General features: G+C 36.7%; 1 protein-coding gene across 7 annotated transcripts in view; it reads right to left on the bottom strand.

Moving 5' to 3' along the window:
* STXBP4 (syntaxin binding protein 4) overlaps window positions 1-16,094 on the bottom strand; it is a 244,509-nt gene that overhangs the window by 55,874 nt on the left and 172,541 nt on the right. For all 7 annotated transcript variants that reach the window (XR_007065289.1, XM_047435714.1, XM_017024410.2 and 4 more), the window contains one exon: window positions 16,033-16,090. Coding sequence is in view for 6 of the 7 variants with exons in the window: in XM_047435714.1 (XP_047291670.1) it covers window positions 16,033-16,090 (58 nt within the window). In the remaining variant the exon portion in view is untranslated. The remainder of the gene's footprint in view (window positions 1-16,032; window positions 16,091-16,094) is intronic.

Raw genomic sequence — 16,094 nt, 5'->3', positions numbered from 1 at the left:
AGAGCTGCCTAACTTGAAAGTGGTTTTAAAGAAATACTAATGAGTGTAACATGAGAGGGCTGGAATGCCACTGCAAGGTGAAATGAGGACACATCACCCTGTACAAAGTACATGTCTAAAACTAAAATGGAAAAGCTTGATGAGACAGCTTTGCTTATTTTAAAATATTGGTATATATTTTAATACTTTAATGTTTATCAGCACATATTAGTCCAAAGAAGAAACCATAATTTAAATCATTTAAATTCCTCCCTCTCCTTTGAAGTTCCATAATTGGAGGAGATGGGAAGGAAGAAAAACAGGAGCAATTACCTGAGGGTAAGTTCAGGTAGTATGCTTTGCTATGTGACTTTTTATAAATAGTATTCTCATGCTTGACATATTACAACTGTCCATATATGAACATTCCATTAAATTGCTAATTTAAAATAATCAAAAGGAAAATGTCTAAGAAAAAAACGTAGTTATAGACTCTGAACGGTGAATATCAGAAAGTTCTACCAGATGGTCATCTTTGCCAGTAACCTTCATTAAGCACTTTTTAATCAACAAATCACATCTGATCTTACTCCAAATACAAAAGTAATATAAAATTTGATTAACCTTATAACTTGATTAATCTTATATTCACAATATGATTTTTTGTATATGCCTAAAAACACACACGCACACACCTAAGCATCAAATATGCAATTACAACAGCTACTCACTAGAAGAAATAAAACTAAAGCAACAGAGAGACGTGTTCTGTGCTTCAAGCACACATTTCAGACCTGGGTCTTTGTTTAAAACGTCCAGAACCAATGGGACACAGTGCTTCTGAAACTCAGGTAATGCATGTGAAGTGCCTGGCAGAGAGGAGACATTCAATAAATAATCATAGCTAGTTTTATTGATAATTAGGGATTTCTGATTATTGTAAGAAAAATTTGGAATTCTTCCTATGATGCTGGAAGGGGGCCATTTGTGTGTATACCATTCAATTTTATGTCCTAGTGAGCACTGTGGCTAAAGAGCTTTGACATAATCGGTATGATGAGATAATCCCAGATTTACTGGCTTGGAGAACATTCTAGTATTAAAAACATTTCCTCTGTGATTTGTGTGCTTGGTAATTCAGCTGATAAGAGAATAAATCAGCCCTGTTGATTGTTTAATTAATAAAGACCCCATGGTTCATAAAGGGAGATGTTGCTATAAAAAATTTAGTATAAAAAATTTAGAGGTTTGGAAAATAAATGAAGCTTACTATGGAACATGAAAATTTTCCATTTGAACAAACAGTACCTCTGGCAAATTCTCCTAAAGAGACAGTGCATCTGACCTGATTTGGAGAGCAGTCAACAGCACTTCAGATATATTTGAAAATCTCAAAAGCATAATACTATTTGCCTCTGAATGGTTGCCAAATCTGTTGTTGGAAAACAATAATATTCGATTTGGGAAGATAACAGTATTGTGTGTTTTAAAAAATAATATTAGTAAACTGAAAGACACATTTTAGAGCTTATTAAAAAACCTAAGAGAACATGCTTTATATTATTGGCATAGAAATGTAAGTGAATTATTTAAATCCCATTATAATTACCCTCCTTATGTTTCTTACCTCCTAGCTAAAGGAGCAAAATGTTTTCTTTCAAAATAAAAATTAGGACAACCTGTTAAACAAAAAGGATTTAATGACAAAAAGGGCACTTGTTCTGTAGAAATTCATTCTTATAACCGTCTGTGATGATGAAAGACATTCTTTTGTTAATCTTCCATCATAGATGGCACTATTTATACATCATTGTGAATTTGCATATACTATTTTATCATGTTTAAGATAAAGCTGTGGAATAAAGAGCCAAAAGTAATTAACTTCCAGTGTCATTTTATTGGGGGGGGGGTGATAATTGTATGCATATAGTATTTATATAAAACAGAAAACAAAGACAAATAAGTAACTATATGTTAATATAATTTGTTTCAGGCACCAGTAACTTTGAATCACTGGAAAATTTTACAACTGGGCATAAACTGCAAGTAGTAATGACAATAAAAGATTTATACTTAAAAACTAATCCCAATTGAAAACAAATGAGAAGGTAGGAACACAAGGTGAACCTTGTCAATGAGATTATTAAAAAGTAACCAAACCATGATAAAGCAGCATATAATCTTATATAAACACTGGTTATGAGAATAATTACAGATTAGTAATAGGAAGTATCTATTCTAAAATATGTTTAAGAGAAAATTGCAGGCATTTTGTTCCCACTGGTATATAAGGAGTATCCTCTTACATAATTTTGGAAATATGCCGCTAAAATCAAAATAAATATTTCTCATTAGTGAACTTTGTAAATATCACAGAACACTTTGAGCATTTTGTAATTAGGCATTTGGAAATCCAGTGAGGCTCTGATCAAATATTAGCAGGATCTCATCCAAATCTTTACAGTCTAGAGGACAAATTTTATTTTTATTATATATTTATGGTAATTTCTGTTAAAAATCATTTATCTTTTAAAATCTTAAATTCCAATTAATTAAAAATATTTAGGTCTGAGCTATCAAATCATATTATAAGAATCTAAAGCTATTGTAATATATTACTTATGTATAAAAAAATTGTTGTCACTAGACTTCTAAAAGATAAACACTGAAAAGAAAATTCCTGAGGAACAAGTATGGAAAATATTAATTACATTTTTTCAAATAATATCCACAGGCTGGATTGCTATATAGAGCTAAAACATGTCAGGTACAAAGCCAATATAATTAATTTTTCAAAGAAGGAAACAACTCTGTAGTGACAGAGTACAGCCCTGGGTAACTCTTAAAAATTGATGCTGTTTTTCATCATAATAGGACAAACAAAACAGAAAAAAACAAAGAACATGTCCTACTGACACTGATACCTATACACTGAATTATCAGATACTAATAAACAATTATATAGGATTGTATAGTTGGTATATTTGTACTTTTTCATATACCTGTTGGCAGTGTCCACCAAAAATTTATGTTCTCCATTCCATACCATAGAGTTGCTGCCAGGTGGCAGCTGCCTAGGCAGAGACTACATTTCCCAGCTCTCCTCATATCTTTATGTGAGCATGTGATTAGTTCCTGTCAATAGAAGGTAACAGAATTGATGTTTATCTTTTGTGGGTCAGGGTTTTTAAGAAGCTGGAGTGCCTTCTCTACTCTCACTCATTATCCGCCAACCGAATGTAGAGGACTCTGAGGCCATTAGGGAGGGCAGAGACATGAGATGGGAGGAGCCTGGGTCTCAACATCACTACCTGAAGAAAAGCTACACCCATCAACCAGGAATCCCTGCATTGATTTGTGAGCATGAAGTCACTGAAAGCAGATGATTTGTTATTTCAGATAGCGTCACTCTAGATCACTGTCAAGCAAGACGAGAATATTTCAAGAGGAAGCCATGACTACTACTTTCTCAATAAATATATGAACAACTTCTATAAACTAAAAGCCTATCTTTCTAAAATACAGAAAATAAGTAATAGCTATATATTTTTATGCTACTTTAAATATCAATAATCAAGACTGTCAGAATACAGATTAACGAATACTAAATTTAACTGGAAACAAGTTCATAAGACCACTGTCAACGTTTCCACGTTAAATTCCCCCTGCGAGTAGAAGTGCATAAAATGTAGAAGCTACTTTAATTTTTAGTGTTCTTATTAAAATAGAATTGTATTACAAGCCATACAGGTGTTCACTTAATTTAATCAACAAAAGAAGTTTAATAAACATCTGACTAAACATTCTTCTTAATTAACAAATTTAAAACCTTAAAAAACTAAAATTTAAAACATATTTTTCAACTAATTTATATGATTCTAATGTTATGTTTATCTATCAGAGTTAAAATGACTACACTACAAATTTTAAATATAAGCATATATATTATACTACAGAATGATTTGTAAAAATCACAAAGTTGGAAGGGACTTTGAGAGGCTCCTTATGAGACCATCTCTAATGTCTTGAAGTATTTTGTCAGTATTATTGATTCCGTCATGTATAAATGCTAAAGCCACTTGACAGTGAGTGTTACAAAGAAAAGCCTTCAATTATGGTGAAAATTATGGGATAAAAACATGCCATCAACCTCTACAGTTTTCTCATGAACTTTTAAATACTGATTGTTTCTAATAGTGCCAACTTAGACTTGTGACTAAATGGAATTAACTGTCTTTTAGGACCTTAGTATAAATTAAAGGCAAGAAAGAATTATATTCTTATTTTCTGTATGAGGAACCTGATACTAAGAAAGGTGAAATAACTTATTCCAGGTCATGAAACTAGTGCATGTTAGAGCCGGGATCTAGACCCAAATCTGACTTCTGAGAATTTAACCATTATATTAAACTCCTCGCTGAGGCTCTGTTATCTGGGTTGGTGTCAGTAACAATATATAGGGAGGCTCTGGAATGGATTAAGTGACCATCTGAAAGGGGTTCTTCAGCTTTACAAGATAAAATTAATTAAAGATGTATTGACTAGTTCATTGATTATAAATGATATGTCTAAAGCTATTATATATATATTTTAAAGTATTTGCCATATGATATGGTTTGGCTCTGTGTACCCACCCAAATCTCATCTTGAATTGTAATCTCCATGTGTCAAGGGAGGGACCTGTAATCCCCAGTATCAAGGGAGGGAGGTGATTGGATGATGGGGACAGTTTCTTTCATGCTGTTCTTGTGATACTGAGTTCTTACAAGATCAGATGGTTTAATAAGCGTCTGGCATTTCCTCTGGTTGCACTTCTCACTCCTGCTGCCTTGTGAAGAAGGTGCCTGCTTCCCCTTCTGCCATGATTGTAAGTTGCGGGAGGCCTCCCCAGCCACGTGGAACTGTGAGTCAGTTAAAGCTCCTTTGTTTATAAATTACCCAGTCTCAGGTGATATCTTTATAGCAGTGTGAAAACAAACTAACATACCACGAAATGCATAAGAATTGTTATCTGGATGACCATGAATAAAAAGTACTTGTATGAAGCCTGAGTCAGAGGCTTTGTGCCAGCAGTCATATTTTTTACATCATGTAGCAACAAATTCTTCATATATCTATTTTTGTCTAATAGGCTGTTAGTTTCTGGAGGGTAGGGAAGTGTCCTACTCATCTTTATAGCCCCAGTGTCAGGCTCACAGAAAGGGGGGTCCATAAATATTTGATGCATGGATACATTTCACTGATACATTACTATTGTCATATCACTGGGTAAAAATACTCAAAAGTGGTAGACAAGCTTACTTATAATGGAGGATCAGACAAAACAATCTTCCGACTTGGTAATCCAGTGTACTGTCCTAAATTATTGAAAATATGCATAAATAAATTGATCATTATTAAAATAAGATTTAAATAGCTCCAAAGTCACCAAATAACTAACACTACTAGTCCTTCTCACCAATATTCTCATATCCAAGTAACTTCCAAAGGTCTACTCATACATTTGGTTGTATGTAACAGTTGAATCACTGTGATAATTCAGACCATTTTGACTAGTTTATTTTCTATACAGCTGGAGTTATATGTCAACCTACTCAAATCCCAGGTTTTGTTAAAATTATTTACATCAAGCAAATACTATTTTTAGCTAAGCAAATCTTGTTTTAACTATTAGAGTATAAAACTTTACTAAAGACAAATAAATATGATGGTAAGTGGCCTGGCTAACAGCTCACGCTTCCCTTCGGTCCCTAAACCGTAGAAGTGATTTTACCACACTGGAATTTTTAGTCTTTGAAATGATGAGAATGCAGCCAAAGCCATGTTTCTAGGCACCAGATACCCAACAGAGGGATGGAGATTTTCACAGAGGTACCTGCTTAATACCAGTGCTAAGTAACAAAGTGCAGGCATGATCAAAGAAGACCTCTGGCCCTGTTAATATTGAGATCATTCATTTGATACAGATGTTCAGGTATGTGGCAGCTGGGTAAGACTTTACATCAGGAAAGCATTTTGTACTTTACAACATTCTTTGATACCAATTTCCCAATTTGCTTTTCATATAAATCTCACAGACCTTATTTTTCTCTACAGTTTTTACAATTGATGAAACTGAGGCTCAGAGTATCAAAGCCCCATCCAAGGTCACACAGTAGTGGGACCACTACCCTCCCCACTCTACTTCTAACTCCCTGTAATCATTTGCTACTGCAGTAACAAATTTCCACAAATTTAATGGCCTAAAACAACACAAATTTACTATCTTATAGTTGTGTAATTCAGAAGTCCCACACAGGTCTTATTGTTCTGGAGGCTCTAGAGGAGAATTTGTTTCTTTGCTTTTCCAGGCCACTCACATTCCTTGGCTTATGGCTCCCAAATTCAAAGCCAGCAACATAACATATCCTAAATTCTGCTTCCACTGTCATATCTCTTTCTGACTCTCTTTTTCTGCCTCCCTCTTCTACTGTTAAGGAGTCACGTGATTGGACCCATTTGGATAATCCAGAATTAGCTCCCTATTTTAAGGTTAGTTGATTAGCAACCTTAATTCTACCTGCAACTTTAATGCTCCTTTACCATGTGACCTAGTATATTCACACTTACAGGTGCTGGGGAATAAGATGTGAACATTTTTGAGGGCCATTATTCTGCCTACCCTTCTCTTCTTCCCTTAAGCTGCTTCTTCCCCTAAGACTAGGGCCTAATGGAAAATGCACCGATTGGGATCAACTCTTGCAATTTGCCTAAAACTTGCTAAACGTTTAGCATGAAAAATAATACATATATGTATGACACTATAATGAATATAATCTACAGAATGAAGAAAAAAGTTGCTAGGGACCTTATGAAATGTAATTTTTGGGAGAAGCTACTATATGGACTGAACTATGTCCCTCCTAAATTCATATGTTGAATCTCCAAACCCCAGCGTGGCTGTATTTGGAGACTGGATCTCCATGGAGATAATTAGGGTTAGATGAGGTTGTAGGGTTGGCAGGACACTGGTCTGATGGAACTGGTGTCTTTGTAAGAAGAGACACCAGAGATATCTCTCTCTCTGTGTACAAAGAGAAGAGGCCAGATGAGGACACAGCCAGAGGTAGGCATCTAGAAGCCAGGAAGAGAGTCTCACCAGAAACCAACCCTGATGGCGCCCTGATCTTGGGACTTCTGTGAGAAAATAAATTTCTGTTGTTTAAGCCATGTCTGTGGTGGTTTGTTACGGCAGCCCTAGCAGACTAATACAGCAACCAAATTTGGAAGGGAAAGAGTTTGACAAAAAGTATTTGTTAGTAAATCTAAATAAAGGGTCCTGGCAGCAAAGACAATTATACACCTTTCAAATAGAAGTATTAACCCTCAGAAAGGTTACGAGTTTTCAAAGTACTTTATGAAACCCCAAATAATTTATTTTAATATCTCAATGAAATGTGAAAAAACATGCCTCATGCCTGTGTTATACCTGTCATTGGTTAAATGAGGGGGAAAAGGGGCTTTGATGCTGAATATTTAGGTCTGGATGTTCTTTTTATTTTAGTGGGCTTTGCCATTCTGAATAACCCAAGCCAGCTGCCTGGTCTTTCATTTCATGACAATTTCTCACACAGTACTTCATATTCCTACATATCTTTGTAGGTATTTACAGAAAATCCTGAGCAAGCTGTCTCAGGCTCATGATCAATGCAATGTCTCTGCTCCTATCACAGGGCTTTTGACTGGCCAGAGAGTGGCACAGGTGTAGGTTTTGGCTACTGGTTTCCATCTGCAGTTGTGTAAATACTGTCATTTTAAACTCCTCCATTGGCAAATAGCAATAGTATAAAATAAGGAAGGGGAGGGGTAACTAACAGCTGTTAAGCACTCATTATGTGCAAGGTATTTTGCTAGGTGCTTTTTACCCCAAATTTCATTCAATTCTCAAAACAATCTGGGGAGATAGATAGAAATTATTATCCTTGTTTTTGTACAAGAATAGAGGGTAGAGAGTATTGAAATAACTTACCACTACCAAGGTCACACTTAAAAGTGGTTGCATAAACATTAGAAGCTAGCTCTGTCTGATACTAAAGCCCTTATTTTTTTCCCCATCAATTGCTTCCGCAGACTGCCAACAACAATATTCATTCGATAAATATTTATCATCCCTACAAATACCAGGCCCTGTGCTAGGTAATGAATATTCCAAACCAGTTGTCACATGGATGGTTACAGCTTTAAAGTGCAATCTAGTAATTTCAATACCTTACAACTCATTCATAGCTAAGAAGTATTTGGGGGCAAAATATTTAAAAAGGTCCATATTTCATCTTTTAAGTCCTCTGTTGGTTTCTTCATTGTAGCCTCATTAAGAATAAAATGCCCAGAATTCTTATACATGTAAAAGAGAGTGAGGAGCCTACACATATTCTCCTTATCTAGTCTGAAGTTGCATAGAAATTGCCCTGACACCTCATCCAGTGAGCCTTAGATCTTACTAATTTGTCAGTAGACATTTCCTCATTCACAGAAAATGAATCAAAGCCCCCAAATTAATGAGATCTTTAGAAGGAGGGTGTTAGACAGTGTCCACTAAAAGCCAAAATAAGCTAGGTGCTTGCTCACGCCTGTAATCCCAGCACTTTGGGAGGCTGAGGCGGGCAGATCACCTGAGGTCAGGATTTCAAGACCAGTCTAGCCAACATGGCCCCGCCTCTACTAAAAATACAAAAATTAGCCAGGTGTGATGGCTGGTGCCTGTAATCCCAGCTACTCGGGAAGCTGAGGTGGCAGAATCACTTGAACCTGGGAGGTGGAGGTTGCACTGAGCCGAGACTGTGTCACTGCACTCCAGCCTGGGTGACAGAGCGAGACTTCGTCTCAAAAAAAAGAAAAAAAAAAAAAGCTAAAATAATTGTAAAGGATTTAGAAAAAGCTAAAAGTAGTACCCTTTAAATTTCTAATTCAGAAACCATTCCTTCCTTTCCATCTTCCCCTTTCCAATCTCCCTAATTTCTAATTGCATTAGATTTACCTAAGCTAGGCTCTACTTAGCAAATAAAGTTAGGGCCTAAGAAACGATAATTTAAAATTCTTGTCTTTTGTGTTTTCCTTTGTTTATAAATGAGATGACACAATGTAACTGAAGCTTTTAACTAATACAATAGGCAAACAATAAAATTTATTCACTTATAGATTATGAGCCATTCTTCCCTACTTGCAAACAAACTAACTGGCTGTCTTAACCCAAGTATAGACAATCATTTTAGGGCATTAATGAATTCTGACTGGAGAGAAATGAGAGAAACCATGCGTATTAGAACTTAGTTATGCTGTAGAGTCATAAAAACAAAGCTCTCACATACTGAACATCTTGTAAGAAATTTGGGGTAGGGGTGTTCTCATTGTTTATTTTGTTATTCCAACCTAATAGTTGCATCATTACTGTTCATCATGGCAGAGTTCCTGTCATGTGCTAGCAATACACTCTAGAAGAAAAAGATTGCAAAGATGTGGCATGTGTCCTACACACCACTTCTCCCTCTAAACCCATGGCAGACATCTCCAGTTGATCAAGGCATACATCAGTGAAGTTGAATATGTCCTCAGAATTCTTCTCAAAATAATACTTGAGACAGCTATTATCAACAGACAGAGATGGCATGAGTTAAAATCTATTTCCCTTCCCTGTTCTACACAGAAACTTTTGTTTTATTCAAATACATAGACTTTCTAGGTTCTACTGATACGCATTTGTAATGTTCTAAGAATAATACTGCCTATGTGATAAAGAATAGAATTTGTAATACGAGGAACAATATATCAGATTTTAGGATCTGATATAAAGGCATATCAATCCAAATGAATGCATGGAGAATTACAAGCCAAATTTAAGTAACTTAAAAGCAAGTGATTACATGTATTTGAAAAATCACCAACAGTATAATTCAGGGGTCCTCAACCCCCGGGCCATGGACTCGTAGTGGTACATGACCTGTTAGGAGCTCAGCTGCACAGCAGGAGGTGAGTTCCGGGCAAGCGAGTACTACTGCCTGAGCTCTGCCTCTTGTCAGATCAGTGGTGGCATTAGGATTGCAAACCCCATTGTGAACTGCACATGCAAAGGATTGAGGTTGCGTGCTCCTTATGAGAATCTAATGCCTGATGACTGAGGTAGAACAGTTTCATCCTGAAACCGTCCCCCTACCCCCTGGTCCATGAAAAAATTATCTTCTACAAAATGGGTTCCTCGTGCCAAAAAGGTTGGGAACTGCTGGTATAATTGAATATTCAAAGCAAGTAATGGACAGAGACAATTTTGTATTATTTATATAAGTCATATGAAACATATATTTTACATACACTGTGAAGTGGCATCTGCTAGGCATGCTCTAAGATGGTTCCCAATGATCCCTACCTTCTGGAATTCATACTTTTAGGTAGGCGCCTCTTACACTGAACCAGGGTTGGTCACATAGCAGAAGTGATGGTAGATCAGTCATCTGACATTGGTTATAAAAGACACTGTAGCTTTTGTCTTTCTCCCTCTCTGTCCTTTTTGTCCCTTACTTCAAGGAAGACAGCTGCCATATTGTGAGTAGCTCTATGTGTTCATGATATGGTGAGGAAGTGAAGCCTCCTGCCAATAACCTCATGAGTGAGCTTGGACCAAATACTCCAGCCAGCTCACTAAGCCACTCTTTTTTTTTTTTCTTTTTTTTTGAGACGGAGTCTCGCTCTGTGGCCCAGGCTGGAGTGCAATGGTGTGATCTTGGCTCACTGCAAACTCCGCCTCCCGGGTACACAACATTCTCCTGCCTCAGCCTCCAGAGTAGCTGGGACTACAGGCACCAGCCACCATGCCTGGCTAATGTTTTTTTGTATTTTTTTTAGTAGAGACAGGGTTTCACCGTGTTAGCCAGGATGGTCTCAATCTCCTGACCTCGTGATCCGCCTGCCTTGGCCTCCCAAAGTGCTGGGATTACAGGCGTCAGCCACCACGCCCGGCCTCACTAAGCCACTCTTGAAGTCCCAGCCCTAGCTAACAGAGTGACTACAACTTCATGAGAGACCCAGAGAGAAAGTGAGAGAGTAATCCAGTGAAGCCACTCCTGGATTCAGGATGCTCTAAAATTGAGTAAGAAAATACATATTGGTTTAAGCTAAAATTTTGGAGAAATTTATTATGCAGATATAGAGTTAATATAAGTATGATAATCACAGTAAATCTGAATCAACAGAAAGATAAAAGGATACAAAAAAGCAATTAGCAGCTATGTCTAATTTGTCATAAATTCAGTTTTACTACAAACTTGATAACTCTCATAATAATTTTGTTATATTATATAACATATGTATAAAGCATGTGAACTTTTAAGTGGAATCATACCAAAGACTACTATAAATCTGTAACAGTATACAACTTCAAAGGGAAAAAGATAAGAAGTTGGGTAGAAAAATGGATCAAGTTAATCAGTTAATTTCATTATAGCACTCTCAAGATCATGGATGGTTTGTTATTAAATTTAAGAATGTTGCAACTCTCTCTCTAAGGAGAAAATAAGAAAAAATTTCCTAGAATGCACAAATACTTTTTAAAACTAATAAATAATGTATTTTCTTTTTTACACATATATGAGGCAAGTGAGCAAGCTCTGCTCACCTGCATATATGCATATATACATTGGTACACACACACACACAGAAACATACACACACACAGAGATATATGTTTATTAATTCTATGAAACACTGGCTGTAGCGATGCCAACACTGATCAAATTTGTTCATCCTAGGTAAAATGCTTTCTTCTCTTGCATCAGAATTTAAGTAGATGACAAAGTATTAATATATGTGTGATGGACATGTGGATGGGCAGGGATAGTCAATGAGGATTATGTTCATCTGGACATTCTTAGGACACCACTGACAGTTATTCCCTTGCCAGAGGCTTGGCTTCCATCAGATGTAACAATTCAATTTCTGGGAAGGCAGTGACAGATGCCAATTTCAGGAAGAGATTATGTGTATATAGACCATCATCTCTTCTGGTGTTCTGGGAGGGTGATTTCAGTCACTATTCTTAAGTAGAGGTGAGAGAGCAATGATCTGAGTCCATTACTTATTATTTCTTGCCTTCAAAGCATCATCTATATGGTAAATGAATCACTCTTACCTCAAAAGCTAACACAGGCTACACAGACTCAAAATTTTTTGTTGGGGTAGTAAGAGAATGAAGATTAAAACAAAACAAAAACAAATGACAAACCAAAACGAAATAGTTCCAAAAAAGACATATAGTAGATGTCTGCTTATGCAAACTTTACTTATCTGACAACATCACCTAGTTGAATGCAGCTAAGAACCATAAAGAAACTCCCACCAAAATGTGAAAGCAAGGGGAGGGAGTGAAGAGGGCTAACCTTTGCTGAAAGTGTCTATTTTGGGCCAGGTGCTATGATAGGCTCTTTAAATACACAAGCTCATTCATTCTGGACAGGAACCCTATGAAGTGCTAATATACTTTCCTTTTTATAAATGGAGAAATTAATCCCAGAGAGGTTAAGTAAATGTGCCTAAGGTTTAGCTATTTTATTTAGCTATTTTGTGTAGACAGTGTCATTTTAATTAAAGTTTCTCCAAGTCCAAAGCCCATGCTCTTCTTTCCCTGATACCAGATGGCCTTCCTGTAATCAAATCCACCTGCAACAGAACTTATGTATCATACTTGACTTACATAAGCACTCCTGCAGAACCACATTCAAAGGCTATTTACAAGCAGTTCAAATTAGCCTCATTATCTGGCATCCTGTCCTCAAGTACAAAACTGGGGAAGAAGGTGGCTTGTGGAGAGTGGGCAAAGAGAATGGTCATGAGGAGAGGAACAGGGACACTGAGAGAAGCAAGAGATGACAGCTGTGTCTCTACTGTGTCTTATACAGCGTAATATCCCCTGTAGAACTCACTGTATTGTGTATAATGATGGATGTTCATAAGGATTTTGTTCACTGGCCTCTGTATAAGAAGTCAGGGAAGTGTGTAACATATATTAAAGTAAGACTTTCATCAAGAACAGTTAACTAAAATAAGTCTTGGTGCTTGAATAGGGTTAAGTTCCAACAAAAAAAAACTAACTTATGCCAAACACCCCATTCCTTCATGAGGCTGGGTAAAAGAAGTAATGGCATATTGTTAGATTTTCCTATTTCTACTCTTTGACTTTTTTAATCTCTGGAAGACAACTTCTTATTCTTACAACCAAGTTTCTATTCTGCTGTTTTAAAATGGATAAAGTATAGAGCTCTTCCTAAATTAAGATCTGTTTGAAGTGTCTTTCTTGTCACATGTCAACATACTATATTAACATGAGGATACAGAGGTGGTGAGGCGTGTGTGTGTGTGTGTGTGTGTGTGTGTGTGTGTGTGTGTGTGTGCAGGTGGCTTTGGGGCCAGACAACCCTGGATCTGAATCTTGGCTCTGCAATTTTATTACTGTGTGACCTTGATGACTACAGCCTCTTTTAACAGTTTCTCCTAATGAAATGGTAAGACAATAAGATCTACTATGGCCCTTTGGGGAATACATTTATTTTATCATCTCTTTTTCTGTTTTCCTTATGTGTCAAGACTAAGGTCAAGGAAACAAAAAATTGATGGACTTCCAAAACACACCCTTTGGGGGTATATTTTCCGAGCAAAGCAATGGGGTTAGGATAAATGTAGCATCTCTCTGTTCTTTCCACAGACACTGAGTTGGTTCCCAGGGCAGCCAAAGGGCTTATTGACTCCCTTTTATCTCCTCTTCTGGGACTCTATTCTCCCTTATAGTGGGAGACCAGCCCAAGGCTATTGTTCCAGGCTGCAAAGAACAGTGGCTTAAGCTAGCTGGGTAACAGGTAAGGAGACAAACCAACTCTCTGGCTGACCATCACTTGTTCCTGCTTTCTCTGTTTTGGGTAACTGTGCCCCTAGTATTTTTTTCTCTTAAGGCACTAGTTAGATTCTGACATTCAACTCTGGGTTAGGATATACTGACAGACAGCTAGGTTTAGGTAAAGGAGTTCCCCACAGGATCCAGACTCATTTACTGACATTTCAAAGGATCCTGAATGCAGAACCCCAGTTAATAATGAATGCTAATTTTCTTTCTTTTAATCATGCATTTCTTTGGGGAACCTTCTAGGAGAAAGCATGGCTAAGGGCAAGATGCAGCTCACTACCATCATAATGCCATTCCAATAAGAGCCCAGCAACACCTACTTTCCACATTGTTAAGAGCATTAAATGATATAATGCATAGAGAAATACACCTAGCATATTCCTGGCTATTAAGCACAAGCTAGTGCTCAGTAAATGCTCATGCCCTCATCTTTTCCTTTATAAAGTTAATATCAAAAAGAGAGAAAGAAAGAAATGCAACACAGATTTGAATGCATTTTTTCATTTTCCTGCCATTCCTACAGTACAGTGATTCAAATCTTCCAGAAACTAAACATGATTAATCCTGCATGCTAGAGAGCCCCTTCCAGAAGAGGTCTGATTCTGGAAGTAAAGAGTGTGGCACTAAATGTAATCTGCACATGGAATTCCTGGGTCCTCTATGCCAAAAGTTCATTTTCTTTCAAATGTTATAAACAACACCTTTGCCTGATTAATCACTTCATGCTAGAGATTGCAAGAAAAAAATTCAGCATGAAAACACTTTGCCAGGTTTATCTCTAGTTTTTCCTTAAATTTTTTCAAATACAAAGCTTTTGAATTCTCAATGTTTTTAATGGTCATATGATTGTTCAGGTTTTTTTTCCCCTCCACGATGGTTTCTCCATATTGTAAATTCATGATGGCTATTTATTGGGCATCTACTGTGTTCCAAGTTCTATGCTAGGTACTTAAGATTAAACAACTTTATAAAGTAGGTAATATTCCCCTCAGTATATGATGTGAAAGCTGAGGTTAACAGAGATGTAGGAACTGTGTAAAGTTGCGGGGCATGAGAATCCAAAATCTGGATATTGCTTTGTAAAATATTTGCACATTTGAAAGGGGATAGCAAGGACATGTCTCCCTTTTCCTCCCAAAATGCATACCAAGTATACTTTGCTAAAAGGATACACAAAGGAGTCCCCTGGGCTCTTAGGAGTCTGTTGGGATTCCCCTTTGTGCTCTCGAAATGTCAATTCTGACATAAAAGGAATTTTCAGGAAACGGTAGAAGTATATCACAGTGCTCTGTCCAGGGCAAAACTAACCAGTTCAGCATCTAGGAAATGTATTCCTGTTCAGGCTTTAAGGATGGGTCTTTATCAGTGACAGTCTAGTGCAGATAGTAGAATCTTGCGGTCAGAAGACTTTGACTCTAGTTCTGACTTGGTAATTAAGTAGTGATAGATTTTTTGGTAACTACTCAAGACTCTTATTTTCTTCATCTATAAAACAGAAAAAATGACAAGGTATACATACCTCAAGAGGTTGTTCTGAGAATCCACTGAGGTAAGGTTTGTTCATATACTGTCCTATTTATCTCAAGTTATTTATCTACTGTCTGTTTTTCCTCTCTATTATGTAAATTCTATGCTATCAAGAAACCAGTCTATATATTTCACCACTATATCTGCAGGGCGTGGAACACTGCCTGGCAAACAGCAAATGCTCAAAAAATAGTTGCAGAATGAACTGTGTGCATTTTAAAGCATTAAAAAATGTTGATATTAGCATTATTGTTAAGAACTTTCAAAGATATACAAAACGGATTTTTTTGCTAGGTATTAACTTTTCATAAACACTAATACTATTAGCCAGCAAGTGAATTTAGGCAGCCAGCCTAAGTTCAAATGATGATCCTGTTCCAATTTTTTGATGTTTCCCTAGAAATTATTACCAGGTTTTTTCCCCCAAATGATATCTGATATTAGCATTTAAATCACATGAAACGAAAATGGTGAGGCTTCATTTCTTGTTACTAATTTTTGTAACCTCCAAGAAGGTTTCTTAGTTTTGCTGATTATTCTGCAACTTCCAGGTTCTCTCCAGATGTGAAGAAAATTGCTTACTTGGTTGAGATGCTTGTACTTACTTGATGAAGTACTTGATTCCATCTGCTGTGTAAGCTTCCTCCCACCCATAAGGTAAACCTAC

The sequence above is a fragment of the Homo sapiens genome, chromosome 17 (assembly GCF_000001405.40).
Source record: "Homo sapiens chromosome 17, GRCh38.p14 Primary Assembly".
Taxonomy (NCBI): Eukaryota; Metazoa; Chordata; class Mammalia; order Primates; family Hominidae; genus Homo; species Homo sapiens.
This window is presented reverse-complemented; position numbering and strand designations above follow the sequence as displayed.